Source organism: Homo sapiens, chromosome 14 (genome assembly GCF_000001405.40).
Source record: "Homo sapiens chromosome 14, GRCh38.p14 Primary Assembly".
In the NCBI taxonomy this organism is placed as follows: domain Eukaryota; kingdom Metazoa; phylum Chordata; class Mammalia; order Primates; family Hominidae; genus Homo; species Homo sapiens.
Window position 1 is genome coordinate 96,296,503 of NC_000014.9, and position 14,248 is coordinate 96,310,750.

Consider the following 14,248-nt stretch of genomic DNA (forward strand, 5'->3'; position numbering starts at 1 on the left):
TGTAATCCCAACACTTTGGGAGGCTGAGGCGGGCAGATCATGAGGTCAGGAGTTCAAGACCAGCCTGGCCAACACAGTGAAATCCCGTCTCTACTAAAAACACAAAAAATTAGCCAGGCGTGGTGGCAGGTGCCTATAATCCCAGCTACTCAGGAGGCTGAGGCAGGAGAATCACTTGAACCTGGGAGGCGGAGGCTGCAGTGAGCAGAGATCACGCCATTGCACTCCAGCCCAGGCGACAGTGCGAGACACTGTCTCAAAAAAAAAAAAAAAACCCAACAACAAAAAACCTAAACTAATATAAAACATTAATACTGTGCCAAAATGCAATGTGAAGGGTCAAAATATTTAGTGGCACGCCAAAACAGTTTGACAATTCCAAAAGCTCTGTCTACTGATCACATATCTCAGAAGTACAAATGATGCAAATGAGAAGGATATCCTAGGTAACATGCATATGGGAGACTAAGCAATGGACTGCAGCACAAGCAGGTGGTTTCGTCAGTAGTGGAAATATTCTGATTCTGAAGCGGGGTAGTGGGTTCATGAATTGTTCATTATATTGTTATGCTTTACATATATATTCATGTATGTATTTTATGTATTATTTCCATCATACACATTTAATATATATAATTCATATTATACCAAATATTACATGTTTACAGTTTAACAGCATATAAAATGCTATTCTTTGGCCACTAGATGGTGATATTTTAATGCCATAAATGGTGGGACTCCATGATTACCTTCAAAAAAACAGCAAATTTTCAGGTATCAATTTCCTCTTTAAAAAAAAAAAAGGGAGACTAAAGATACAATGGTTTCTACTCATTTTTCACCACAAATGCACAAAACAACAGATAAAGAGATGCTAATCACCAGCTTTTTTTGTTTTGTTTTGTTTTGTTTTGAGACAGAGTCTCGCTCTGTTGCCCAGGCTGGAGTGCAGTGGCACGATCTCGGCTCACTGCAACCTCTGCCTCCCGGGTTCAAGCAATTCTCCTGCCTCAGCCTCCTGAGTAGCTGGGATTACAGGCACCCGCCACCAAGCCCAGCTAATTTTTGTATTTTTAGTAGAGACGGGGTTTCATCATGTTGGTCAGGCTGAGTCTCGAACCCCTGACCTCGTGATCCACCCGCCTCGGCCTCCCAAAGTGCTGAGATTACAGGCGTGAGCCACCGCACCCGGCCACTAATCACTAGCTTTTTAAAATGTTCTCAAAATTTTTTGATTTTGGTATTTATGCTAAACTCTTTACAAATCAGTAAGACCAACAACTCAATTTTATTTTATTTTATTTTACAGATGGGGGTCTCGCTCTGTCACCCAGACTGGAGTACAGTAGCATGATCATGGCTCACTGCAGCCTCCACCTCCTGAGTTCAAGCGATCCTCCCACCTCAGCCTCCTGAATAGCTGGGAATATAGGCAGGCACCACCATGCCTGGCTATTTTTTTTTCTATTTTTTGTAGAAACAAGATCTCACTATGTTGCCCAGGCTGATCTTGAACTTCTAGGCTCAAGCAATCCTCCTGCCTTGGCCTCCCAAAGTGGTAGGATTACAGGCATGAGTAACCCGCACCCGACCCAAACAACCCAATTTTAAAACTAGCAAGACACAGACACTTCAGACACACAAAAGAAAATACACAAATGGCTAATAAGCACATAAAAAGATGCTCAGCATCACCTGTTACCAGGGAAATCCAATTTAAAACCACAGTGTACACAAAGCATCCCAGCTAAAATTTTAAGAACGACAATACCAAGTTTGGCAAGGCTATGAAGCAGCTGCAGCTCTCATGGCTATTGGTGGGAATATGCAATGCAACAGCCACTGTGAAGAATTGTTTGGCAGCTTCTTAAGAGAGCTCAACATATACTTATCTTATGACCCAGAAATTCTACTCTTATATATGTATTTATTCAACCAAGAGAAGTGAAAACGTATGCCCATAAAAAGACTTCTACATAAATTTCCTAACAGCTTTATTCCTAAGAGCCAAAACCATGGAACAACCTCAGTGTGAACCAGCAGGTAAACAGATAAACCGTGGTATATCCACAGCAAAATCCTACTCAGCAATAAACATCACTGTGGATACATGCTACAACATAGATGGATCTCAAAGACTTAACGCTAAGTACAGGAAGCCAAGTACAATTCCATTTACATGAAGTTGCAGAACAGGAAAAAACTAATCTATGGTGACCAAAAGATCAGTCAGTAGTCACTTTGGGATGGTGAAGATGAACTACAAAGGGACATGAGTGACGTCTTCACGGTAAGGAAAATGTTCTATATCTCAACTGGGGTAGTAGCTACTCAAGTGTGTAAATCTGTGAAACCTCCATTGAACACTTAAAAGCTGTGCATTTTAGTGTATGTAAATTATACCTCAGTGCAATCAATGTTTTTAAACTTTAAAAAATTGTTTATGCTAAACTTTGACTGTAAAATGTCTAGTTTGAAGATCCTATGATAAAGGATATTAATACTGCACTATGACTTACAGTGTTAAAAGAATTCCTTTTAATGTCATACTCAAGCAATGAAGCAATAATGATGAAAAACACAATTGTGCAAACTGGTGCTGCTCCATGTTCATCCTATAGAGCCTGGTTGAGCACTTACTTATCTTCCTTAGCAGAATGGTCTCCCAGTCCCAGTCCACAATCAGAGTAAGGCTTTTGGTATCTTTACAAAAATCTTCACCTGCCTAGCTCCACTGCACTCCTTAAGGCCCACCTTGAATGTCACCACCTCCAGAAAGCCTTTCCTGAGCATCCCTCACCCTTCCAAACTCCCAGTCTAGGTTAAGAGCCATCTTCTGGTCAGGCATACCATCCCATGCCTATCTGTATCACTTGTACTCACCACAGCACATTAAAACTATCTCTTTTATGTCAGTCTTCTATAAAGAGATCCTTGAAGATAGAGATGTCTTATTCATCTTTGTATCCCCAGCATCCTAATATAAAACTTGGGACAAGGCAGGCATTCACCAAATGGTCTTGAATGAATTGATACGCTTTCCCGGCAGAGTTCCAGGCAGTACAAAACTAAAATGGATAATAGGCTAGCAGAGTCAGGAAATCCGGCCCCCTTCCTATTTTGAATCTCAAACTGCCTAGCTGTATGACCTCCATCATCCACTTATCCACCAGATGGAACTCATTCCATCTGCAATGCTTACTGCCTGCCCTAAGGGAACACTGAGCTTTGGAAGCAGTTGCACTTACCTTCAATGGCAATGCAGCTTTTTCAAAAACATGAAAGAATAATGTGTTGCTTTCATACTTAACATGATTCAATTAAGAAGAATAAGTGGGGATGTGCTCGGTTAGAAAAATAATACTCAAAGCATTATCATTCACCAACTGATTTGTTTTCACAAGAAAAAATAAACAAAAATATTTGATTTTCTACTCAGACGACCATTTACTATCCCAAAATATGGTATAGCAATCTTAAAAGAGGCGAACTGAAAAGAATTTTTGTGTCAGGTGATATACCTCATTAACGCTTACATATTTGTGGTGTGGCTTTGTTTTCCTAGCTTTTATGTCTTAATGAATTATTTCTCATTCTTCCTCAAGGTAGTCATAAAATTTATTTCCCTGATGGTTCTAAGATTAATAACTCTCCACTTTAAAATCATAATGCTTTATAGTTCTAAATAAGAAATTGTGTTCAATATTAAATTTAAAAGTCTATTAAAGAAAATTAGGGTGGGCACAGTGGCTTATGCCTATCATCCCAGCACTTTGGGAGGCCAAGGTGGGAGGATTACTTGAGCCCAGGAGTTCAAGACCAGTCTGGGCAACATAATGGGACCACGTCTCTACAAAAAAATAAAAATAGAAAATTAGCTGGACATGGTGGTATGCGCCTATAATCCCAGCTGTTCAGGAGTCTGAGGCGGGAGGATAGTTTGAGCCCAGGAGGTCAAGGCTGCAGTGAGCCATGATCTACACTCCAGCCTGGGTGACAGAGTGAGACACTGTGGCGGGGGAAGAAAAAAAGAAAGAAAATTGGGCTTGCTAAGTTTCGTAAAGTCATGCCAGAAAGATGTATCTTACTCAAAGTCTTGTTCACACTGGTGATCGCCACAGATCAATTTTCCCACAAATATTTCATTGTATTTCCACTAGGCCAATCAATATATGGATAAATTTAGTTAAAGTATGGATATCAAAATATCTTCTTTTCATAATGATAAAACATAAACTTAAAGTACTGATTGGCAAGTCTAACCTAGGTCAGAGGCTATAAGCATTAATGTAGAGCTATGCTAAGCTTCTGTACTTCACAGTACATTTTCTCTAAGACAGCGCCTATTTTTTGTTTATAAATATTATTTAAGCTCAGTCTTGAAATATTTGTTACCAGCTTTTAGTTATTCAAGTTTTATTTAAACAACTAATGAACATTATTCAACCAGTACTATTTAAGCAAATTAATAACGTCCACCCCACAAATAAATACTCTACTTCCAAACCTGAGCTCATATCAACACAATTTCTGTCAAGAAGGTTTTGTTATTTCACAGCAGATTAGTTAAAAACTCCATTTATGTTCTGCAATTATCATATGTTATGTTATTATTAAATAACAACAGTTAACATTACTGATCCCTAACCTAGTGTGTCAGGCACCCAGTTAATGTTTTTCACACACTGATTTATTTAATCTTCATTTTAAAAAGCATTATGATACACATATTACTATTTCTCCCATTTTATCAGTGAAGGAACTAAGGCTTGGAGATGTTCAGTAACTTACCCGAAGCCATACAACTAGTAAAAGCTACAGAACTAAGACTGGAACCCAGGTCTGACTCCAAACCCATGCTTCTCGCCATTCTATTACTATACCTTGGCTGCGCATCCTATTTTCATACATCTTGGTAAAAAGTTTCTGGAAGAGGCACCAGCTATGTTTTAAACAGATCGCTGGGTCAAAGCAAAGCCCAGAAGAATTTGATGGGATGCCTGCTAGAATACGGGAAAGTGGATTTCACTGTGCCCAACTCCAGTTTTTTTTAGGGAAAGTCTAAATCTCTGTTGTTTCTGACCTCTTTATGTATACCAATTTACTCATTTGTCATTTTGCCCAGCACAGAAAGAATTCTCTTCCAGATGCTGCAATGAAGACAGAGCAGCATTCAATTCATCAGGGAATCCTCTAATACTCTCTGAAAATGTATGCATATCTGAACTGGGAGTAGAGTACTTGAGGATTAGAGAACAAGAAGCAGGTATTAAGGTCTACATCACACCATGAGTAGGAGACTGGGGAATAACATCTAATGATGTTGACTCAGCCATAGTTCAGATTCCAAACATCTAATGAATTTGCCCTATTCTTTATCAGAAGTTTGCTTTATATATGTAACCGCCATAAAAGTTCAATAATGATAAACATTACAATTTCTTTATTCTGAACATGCAGTCTAATCTAACTGTAACGGCAGGAATCACGCTCATGCTACAAACCTGGTCAATATTGAGGCGGAGCGGCATCAGCGACACTCTCAAGCAGCACTCCTGTGGGGACCTGCCAGATTCTGGACACACGTGTAAGGCTTTCACTGTCAACTACAAGGCAAGAAAGAGAATAACATTTTTCCCCAATAATATGATGACCTTCTTCTCTTTAAAAATAAGAAAAAAAAAGAAAAATTCCTATTCCTATACCATATGAGAAAAAGAGGAATTGTTTACCCTCTTTCCTTAAAAGTCTGAATCAAACATTTTTGGGTCACATGCCCCCATCAATAATCTGATTAAAGGCTGGGCACGGTGGCTCATGCCAGTAATCTCAACACTTTGGGAGGCTAAGGTGGGAGGATTACTTGAGTTCAGGAGTTCCAGACCAGCCTGTGCAATATAGGAAAACCCCAACTCCACAAAAAACAAAAAATTAGCCAGGCACGGTGGTGCACTGCCAGTAGTCCCAGCTACTCAGGAGGTTGAATGGGAGGCTAGTTTGAGCGCAGGAGGTCACGGCTGCAGTGAACTACAATCTGCACTCCAGCCTGGGTCACAGAGTGAGACACTGTTGGGGGGAAAAAAAAAACTGCTTAAAGATGTAGACTCTCTTTAGAGGAAAAATTGCAAATGGATAATGTTGTACTTAGTAACAGTTTACTGAAACCCTGAAGCTAACCATAGGTCCATATGCCAAAATCAAATTCTGTGAGGGACCTCCAAAGTCCTGAAAGAATCATTTCTACCTTACTAAAATGTAAAGAGTGTTAGAAATCTGGAACACCTTCAGCAATACTACCTATTTTGTACTGATCACTAGGGACTTCTACTTTTCCTCAGATATCAATTTATTAGCAATTAGAGTTAATGGACCCTAGAAGTGACATGCAAAATAATTTTTTAAACATAAAACTTTAAGCAATACATTCAAAAGGGACTTTTCACATTAAAATGAGAAAAGATATCTAGTAATTTTCCCTACTTTAACTCTCCTGAAGTTAGATATAATAAAAACACGTTTCCAAAACTAACATAACACAACGATGAGGTTAACTCTTACCATGTTGGAGTGAGCTTTTCGAGGCATTTCTTTACTGCAATACAGGTATAAAAATTTATTCATTTGTGATGTTGCCAAACGATCTCGAATCTCAAGATCCTGAACAATGAACACCTGCCGGGAGACTGGGTGTTCTGAGAGGCTGGAATCACAATCAGGTTTGCATGGCGGGTAGACTTCATGCTGAAACTTCACCTTAACGGGTAAGGAGGAAGAACGCGGAACAGTTCTTTACATTCCTTTTATTAAATTGTATTTTCTCTTTAAAATGCAAAATATCACTCATTTTTCCTCTGAATTCTACCTCAGCTTACAATTCCACCTTCAAAAAACTCAACAACATGACATTCCTTCACTTGTTCACTCATTTATTAATCTACAGTGCTCCCTGCTTGTCCAAGGTTTTGCTTTCCACAGTTTCAGTTACCCATGGTCAACTGAGGTCCAAAAATATTTCAGTATTTTGAAACCAAGAGAAATACCTTCCATATAACTTTTATTTTAGTATAGTGTTATAATTATTCTATTTTATTATTCATTATTGTTAATCTCTTACTATGCCTAACTTAGAAATTAAACTTTATCATAGGTATGTATGTATAGGAAAAACACAGTATACATAAAGTTCAGTACTATTTGCAGTTTCAGGCATCCACTGAGGCTATTACCATGTATGTCTGTGGATAAGGGGGACTATGTGGACCCTACCATACACAGAGAAGCTTGACTAATATTTCTATTTGACCTTGGTAAAATCCCTTATTTCCAAGGAAAATTCTCAATAGGAATAAGACATAAAATTATTATCTTGCATACCTATGAAATTGCTTTAAAATGAATCAGCAGAGGCAGGGTTCAAGTTCCAAAAGGAGGCACAGATATGATTAAATACAGGGAATTGTCATCACTACAATATTGCCATGCTAACTATCCTAAAATATGACACTTGGTACAATCTCAGACAAGCTGGTAGAATTAAATGCGTGTGATGCCATCAGTAGTCTGGCCCTACTGGTCTCTAGTCTCACAAAGGACCTGCCAGATGCACTGTCCAAACACAGGCTTTCCCAGACAGATGCTCTAGGGCAGCATCTCCTCAGTCTGACCCTACCTCAGACTTCCTGAATCAGAAACTCTGGGGTGGAGCCCAGAAACCTGTGTTTTAATAAGCCCTCCAGGGGATTCTGGGCTTGCTCAACTGTGAGAACCACCGCTCTAGCGGTAGCCCAGACAAACAAAAATAAAAGAAAAACACCTCAGTCTTCTTAGAACATTTGAGAATGAAAAAGAGGTAAGAGTTTTATACAAGATCCTTGCACTTTTCCAATCCAAAGGGTTGGGACTTAAGGCTCAAGACTACGTGGTGGGGGATAACAAAAGAACCCCCCGCCAATATCCTACTTAAGTGGATTTTTCCTTCAAATGCCATCTTACCTTGCTTAGCTGTATTTCCATTAAAAAGTCATGGTTCCTTCCTTTTCCCCCACATACTGTATTACGTCCATGTCTCGTGGGTGTGTGAGAAGGCGAACTGTGGGGACTACTAAAAATGAGCAAAAAAAAAAAAAACCCTTTTGTTAAAGGAATATTCAAAGAAAGTCAATGAATGACATTAAGGAAAATGATAAGATGAAAGACAAAGTAAGAGTACAGAGCTATCAGAACGCTGCCACAAATTACTAGAAACCAAAACCGTATCTTCTTTACTCTGTAGACACTGAAACACGCGTTTCATTATTGCCATTAGAGTAATCACCTGCTTGCTAAATACTCAAAACTACAGGAAAAGCTAATTATGATGCTGGGATCCGTATCACAGGATACACTTAGAAATGAGACCTCCTTATAAGCTTCTTGTTACTTTGGAAACCCTTTATAGTCAGAACACAAGTCCTAGGAATCCCAACTAATACACAAAATAATTATAGTAAAGTTGGACGTGTTTTAAAGTCGCTTTTAAGTAGAAAAAGCTGCTGAACTATAGTGTCAAATGTTACTGCTCCACGCAGCCTCCATGCCATGCCCCACCTCAATAAGGAAGTCTGCCCCCTACAGGGATTCTGTCCACCTGATTCTCCCAGCGACCGGCACACTGCACTCGTCTCACAGGCGCTCAATGACCACAGGCTCTCTGCTCAGTGCCCTGCTGAATGCTGGGGACAGGGCATGCCCGACCCCACCTCCTGACACACTTCCTGCGTTTCACTGCCCTCTGTCACTCACATGACTCACAGGACCTACTCATTTTTGTGAAATAGGTACATGGTAGATACCTGAAAATTTCTGCTGAATGAAAATGATGAGAGTCAACATTTTAGTAAAAATACAAATAATACAAATAAGTTCACAATTGGAAAACTGTGAGAGTAACATTTAAATTACAGTTTTTAATACTACTTTATTAATAATTCTTAAAATGATAAATCCTATTTTTCTTTTTTCTCTCTAAAGGGGAAATGGAAAATTCTATTTTTCTAAGAAAAGAATATATTGGCCTCCCAAATAAACTTATATAGAAATTAACTTACATATAACTTTTAGCCGGAGAAGTGGGAGGGACTATTCCAAAATCCTTTCCTCCATAAAGATGCCAGACAAGAGAGACCTCCTTCACCACATAGCGAATCACAGGAATGGGAAAGTGTAAGGGGGCTTTGCTCGTATCGGTCTTATTAACGGGCAGACTGAAATAATTGTCTCTTATCACAATTGCATCATCAACCATGATTTTTATAACTGGTTCTTCTTCCTTCTCCTAAAATAAACAAACAGGTAACACATACTCTCTTTTCTAATTAGAAACAACTGATTATGCTGCACATCTCAAGGGGCATTCTTGCTTCTACATTCTTTTTAATAATTCCAGTATATAAAATAAGGTGATGGTTACCGACATTAGTCACCACAAAGATATTCTGCTTTATTAACCATAAAATAAACTCTCTTTGTTCTACGTAAACCACTCCATAAGGATTTTTTATGGTTTACAATTCGGCTTTCACTACTTGTTTGATAATAAAAAAGCACAAATTTAGTGTGTGGGTATTTTTTTTTGTTTAAAGTCAATACTGCAAACCAAAAGTTAACAAATTTCAACATATGGATGATATTACCATGTTTTTAATAATAGGTTTATCCTGAGTTTGATTGTTTGGATTTTTAAAAATTTAACCAGAAGGTTCTCAGAACTTTGTAAACAAATACGGTCACCTACTGGACAATTCCTGGAAAGTTTCCAAATACACATACACACACACACTTATATCTATACATACACACAAACACACCCCAACCATCAGCCTTCACACAAACCACATCTTATCTTTCCCGATTCTTGGACTAGCAATTCTGTCCAGCAGATCCTTCTGCCATTTAATTTCACGATCCTTGAATAGTCATCTTACTATATAAAAAATCTGGAGTTCAATAATCTATGTTGGAAATTTTGCAAATAGCATTCTTCTCTGAGTCTTTAGATGTGTCACAGAAATAGTACAGTAACCATTCACCAACTGTCAATAGTATATTAAAAAAAAAAAAGTAACTCTGAACTATAAAGAATTTACAAAATCAACAGAATTTTCTCCAGGTACCCTTTGGTCAATTCATTTGTAACACCATTCAAGGCTTCAATAATGTTATTAATTTATTACCTGCATGGCTGCTTTTGGTGCAAAAAGAATGCAAAAGTCATCATTCTCAGTGGGCACACCTGTCATTGCATCACTGATGAAATGGTGAGAGAATGAGGCATAGGTGGGGCCGGACTCCTGGGATACATTCCCACTCTCGTCAGGAAACAGGAAGAGGTCTGAACAACATGGCTCCTGAATTTGAGATTTTTCATCCAAAACACCTAGATAAAAAGATTACAACATTTTGGCACACTTTGAAATATCAACAACAACAAGCATTTTAACCATGTGTCAGATATATGTTGTGTGCTTTTACCTGCAATATCTCATTTATTTCCTAAAATAAGTCTATGAATCTGAGGCTTAAAGAGAGCTAAGTAACATGCACCAAAACACCTCAGCAAGAGTCAGAAATACATCAAAAACCACTAATAGGCCAGGCATGGTGGCTCATGCCTGTAATCCCAGCACTTTAGAAGGCCGAGATGGGTGGATCACCTGAGGTCAGGAGTTACAGACCAGCCTGGCCAACATGATGAAACCCTGTCTCTACTAAAAATACAAAAATCAGCTGGGCATGGTGGCACACACCTGAGTCCCAGCTACCTGGGAGGCCGAGGTAGGAGAATTGTTTGAAGCCGGGAGGTGGAGGTTGCAGTGAGCTGACATCACACCACTGCACTCCAGCCTGCGTGACAGACCAAGAACCTGTCAAAAAAACAAACAAACAAACAAAAAACAACAACTAATAAAAAGACAAATGATAAATTCGAAATGGCAATGTCACAAAGACAGTTTCCTCCCAGTTAGTTGGCGTTGGGGAAGCTCAGCAGTTGCTGGTTAGTGTTGAGTGGAGTTTTGCTTTACCCAGAATTTCACCTTTGACAATTCTGTCCTATAGGCGGAGCTCTGGAAGAAACTTCTTGGACAATATTACAATGTGAGGGGAAACTGGTTACATTTAGCAGAGCCTAAATGTAGGGGGAGGGAAGGGGAAGGGGAGGGAAGAATAGCTGTTGAGCAAGCATTAGGTGGCAGAGGAGGCAGTGATTCAAGTATGAAAAGAAGACCTCTTCCTGGGGCCTGGGATACCCAAACTGGATACCTAATCTTAGGTAGCTATCGCAAAAGATTACATGTGCACCAAAATCTGCATGTCAACATATATTTTAATATGTTTACATTACATATTAAGAGTCACTCATTCTTTTCCCATTCATTCATTAAAACCAAACACTGTGATGAGGCTGAGAACACTAAGCTGAATCAAGAGACATACTGGCTTTAAGAGACTCACAGATTAGATTTTAGATTCTTCTACAGCAGTACCTCAGAATTACTCATCCTTACAGGTACCCAGGGCCTAGTACAGAATCTTGTATATTGAAGCCACCCAGTAAATAATCACTAAATATTCTTTCCCATGTAATTAAGGTAGCTGCATATATACATATACACACACACACATATATAAATATATATAAATACATAAATATATATATACATATATATATAAATACATAAATATATATATACATATATATATATATATATATACACACATATATATATATATATATATATATATTTTTTTTTTTTTTTTTTTTGAGACAGAATCTCGCTCTATTACCCGGGCTGGAGTGCAGTGGCACAATCTTGGCTCACTGCAACCTCCGTCTCCTGGGCTCAGGTGATCCTCCCACCCCACCTAAGCCTCCCAAGTATCTGGGACTATAGGCGCCTGCCAACACATCCCACATCTAGCTTTTTTTTTTTTTTTTTTTAATTGGAGAGATGGGGTTTCACCATGTTGCCGAGGCTGGTCTCAAACTCCTGAGTTCAAGTGATCCACCTGCCTCAGCTTCCCAAAGTGCTAGATTACAGGCATGAGCCACTGTGCCCAGCCTAGCTGCTAACATTTATTACAAATAATGTAGTACATAGAACACTAAAAGCCCCAGTTTGCTTCCTTAGTTCTAATTTATCCTAAATTAGCAAGACAGCAACAGTTAACACTAGACTTTTACAACTCCATGAAATAATTTTTAATTAAGATTTCCCAATATATAGATATAGCTATGACCATTCAATTAGAAGAAAATACTGTTGAAATAGAGGCTTTAAAATGTTTACCTGCTTCCCTTTGGCTTTCAAGGATCTTGAATCACCTGGGTCCCTCTTTGCTTACCCAACTTTATTATCTAATTCTTTTCAATAAGAGAACTTTTGTTTCAGTAAGAACCCGAATGTCATGGCTAAATAACTGAGGCTCATGCATGCCTTTGTCTGTGCTCTGTTGATGTTAATGACCTTGCCAAGATTACCTTCTCCTCCCTCTTTACATACCTAAATCCCAACCACTTTTAAAAAGCCAAGCCATCTTACTTTACTAAAGTCTAATAAAATTATCCCAATCCTTTCCAAACAGTAGAGGATATACCACAGTTGAAGTATTTTCTTACATCATTTATCAATCAGTCTAAGTACTGGCACCAGTTTTGTGCCCATTTGTTTTACTAGGCTACAAGCTACCAGAAAACATAAGCACTGTCTTCTACTCACTCTGCATTCCCGACACCAGCCTGGCCAGAGTTACCTATTTACTAGACACTGAGTAGACACAAGCTGAATGATTAACAGATATCCATAAAAACTCATATGCGTCTTTAATAAGTGACTTATTAAATTTACGAGAACACAAATAAAGTAAGCCCCAACATTAACATCAGTGCTCCCTGAGAAGAGTCCTGGTCTTACCATTAGCCTGTGGTTTTACTGACGAGGTGCCTTGTTGCATGTCGATCTCCTCCATAGCATCACTCATCAGATCTCGTAACATTTGTTGATCTGCTTCAGGAAGTACTGGACCACGTGAGGATGATCGACCACTGGAATCTACCTATAGCCAAAAAACCTAATTAAAAATAACTGAAAATGCTCTTAAAAACCAAACTACTTACATTTATTTTATCCCAAAAATACATTACATTGTACAAAAACATCAGAAATAGAAACCTACTCATTTTTCTATGCCCAGCAGCTGTTATATTTCAAGTTTTTAGTATTATCACCCTAACAAATACTGGCAAAGAGCAATAAATGTGTCACCACCTCAAAGCAAGCACAGTGAACTGGGATCTTGAAGAGGCAATGCATTTGAAAACAGGGAAGTTGAACAAACTGCAATAAAGCTGGGAAAGAAGGGATAACTAAATAAGTTTGATCTCCTCAACTCTGATGGTTGCAATGACTTTCATCCCTTTGACATAAAGCCCCTGTAGGACGAGGCCTCATTTCTTGGACACCTAACAACAGTAGGGGGCACACACAGCAGGGGAAATATACTAAACGGTGATTCAGAGCTCAGTTCCAGCACCAAATACTTAACCAAATACTTCACCAATGGTTGGTGAACTGTAGATTCATTAAACCCAGATCGTGCTTTTTATATGTGAGCATGACTCTAAAATAGCAAGTTCCAAGCTGAAAGGGATAATTTAAAATAAGAAGAATGTTTTTTAAAAGGGAATAAATAGTAGGCGGGGTGTCATAAATCACCTTATCGTGAGAATACAGCAGGAACAAGGAGTCACAAACAGAAATTAACACAAATAAAGTGTAAAATAATCCTGAACAAAAGACAACAAACACGATGCCAGTCAGGCCTTTACTAGAGTACATAACAGAGGCTCTAGAACCTAAGGGGACTGAGATTTCTGTTCATAAGAGAGACCACAAAGAATAACAATGAAAAAGAAAAAATGCTAAACAAACTGGACATTCTTCAATTTGGACATAAGAGAAGTTAGAAAGGTGACACTTGGGGCAGAAAAGTGCATTGAACTGGACACCAAAATATCTGGGTTTGTTGCTGTTTCTGCTACTCTTTAGAGCAATCATCTAAATTCTCTGGGTCTTATTAATTTTTAACCTCTCTATCTCACCAGGTCATCATGAAAGGAAAAGGAAGTCATATATGACAAAGTACACTGAAAACTGGATTGTCTTAGAGATAAAAAAATAGGGAAAATATGATGATATAAGTAAGTCTTCTG

At 38.6% G+C, this 14,248-nt stretch overlaps 1 protein-coding gene across 1 annotated transcript in view; it reads right to left on the reverse strand.

The window, feature by feature from the left end:
• ATG2B (autophagy related 2B) overlaps positions 1-14,248 on the reverse strand; it is an 84,147-nt gene that overhangs the window by 17,308 nt on the left and 52,591 nt on the right. Inside the window, exons 29-34 of the mRNA NM_018036.7 lie at positions 12,951-13,092; positions 10,212-10,414; positions 9,087-9,313; positions 7,993-8,101; positions 6,559-6,753; positions 5,505-5,606 (exon numbers count right to left, since the gene is read on the reverse strand). Coding sequence (NP_060506.6) covers positions 5,505-5,606; positions 6,559-6,753; positions 7,993-8,101; positions 9,087-9,313; positions 10,212-10,414; positions 12,951-13,092 — 978 coding nt within the window. The remainder of the gene's footprint in view (positions 1-5,504; positions 5,607-6,558; positions 6,754-7,992; positions 8,102-9,086; positions 9,314-10,211; positions 10,415-12,950; positions 13,093-14,248) is intronic.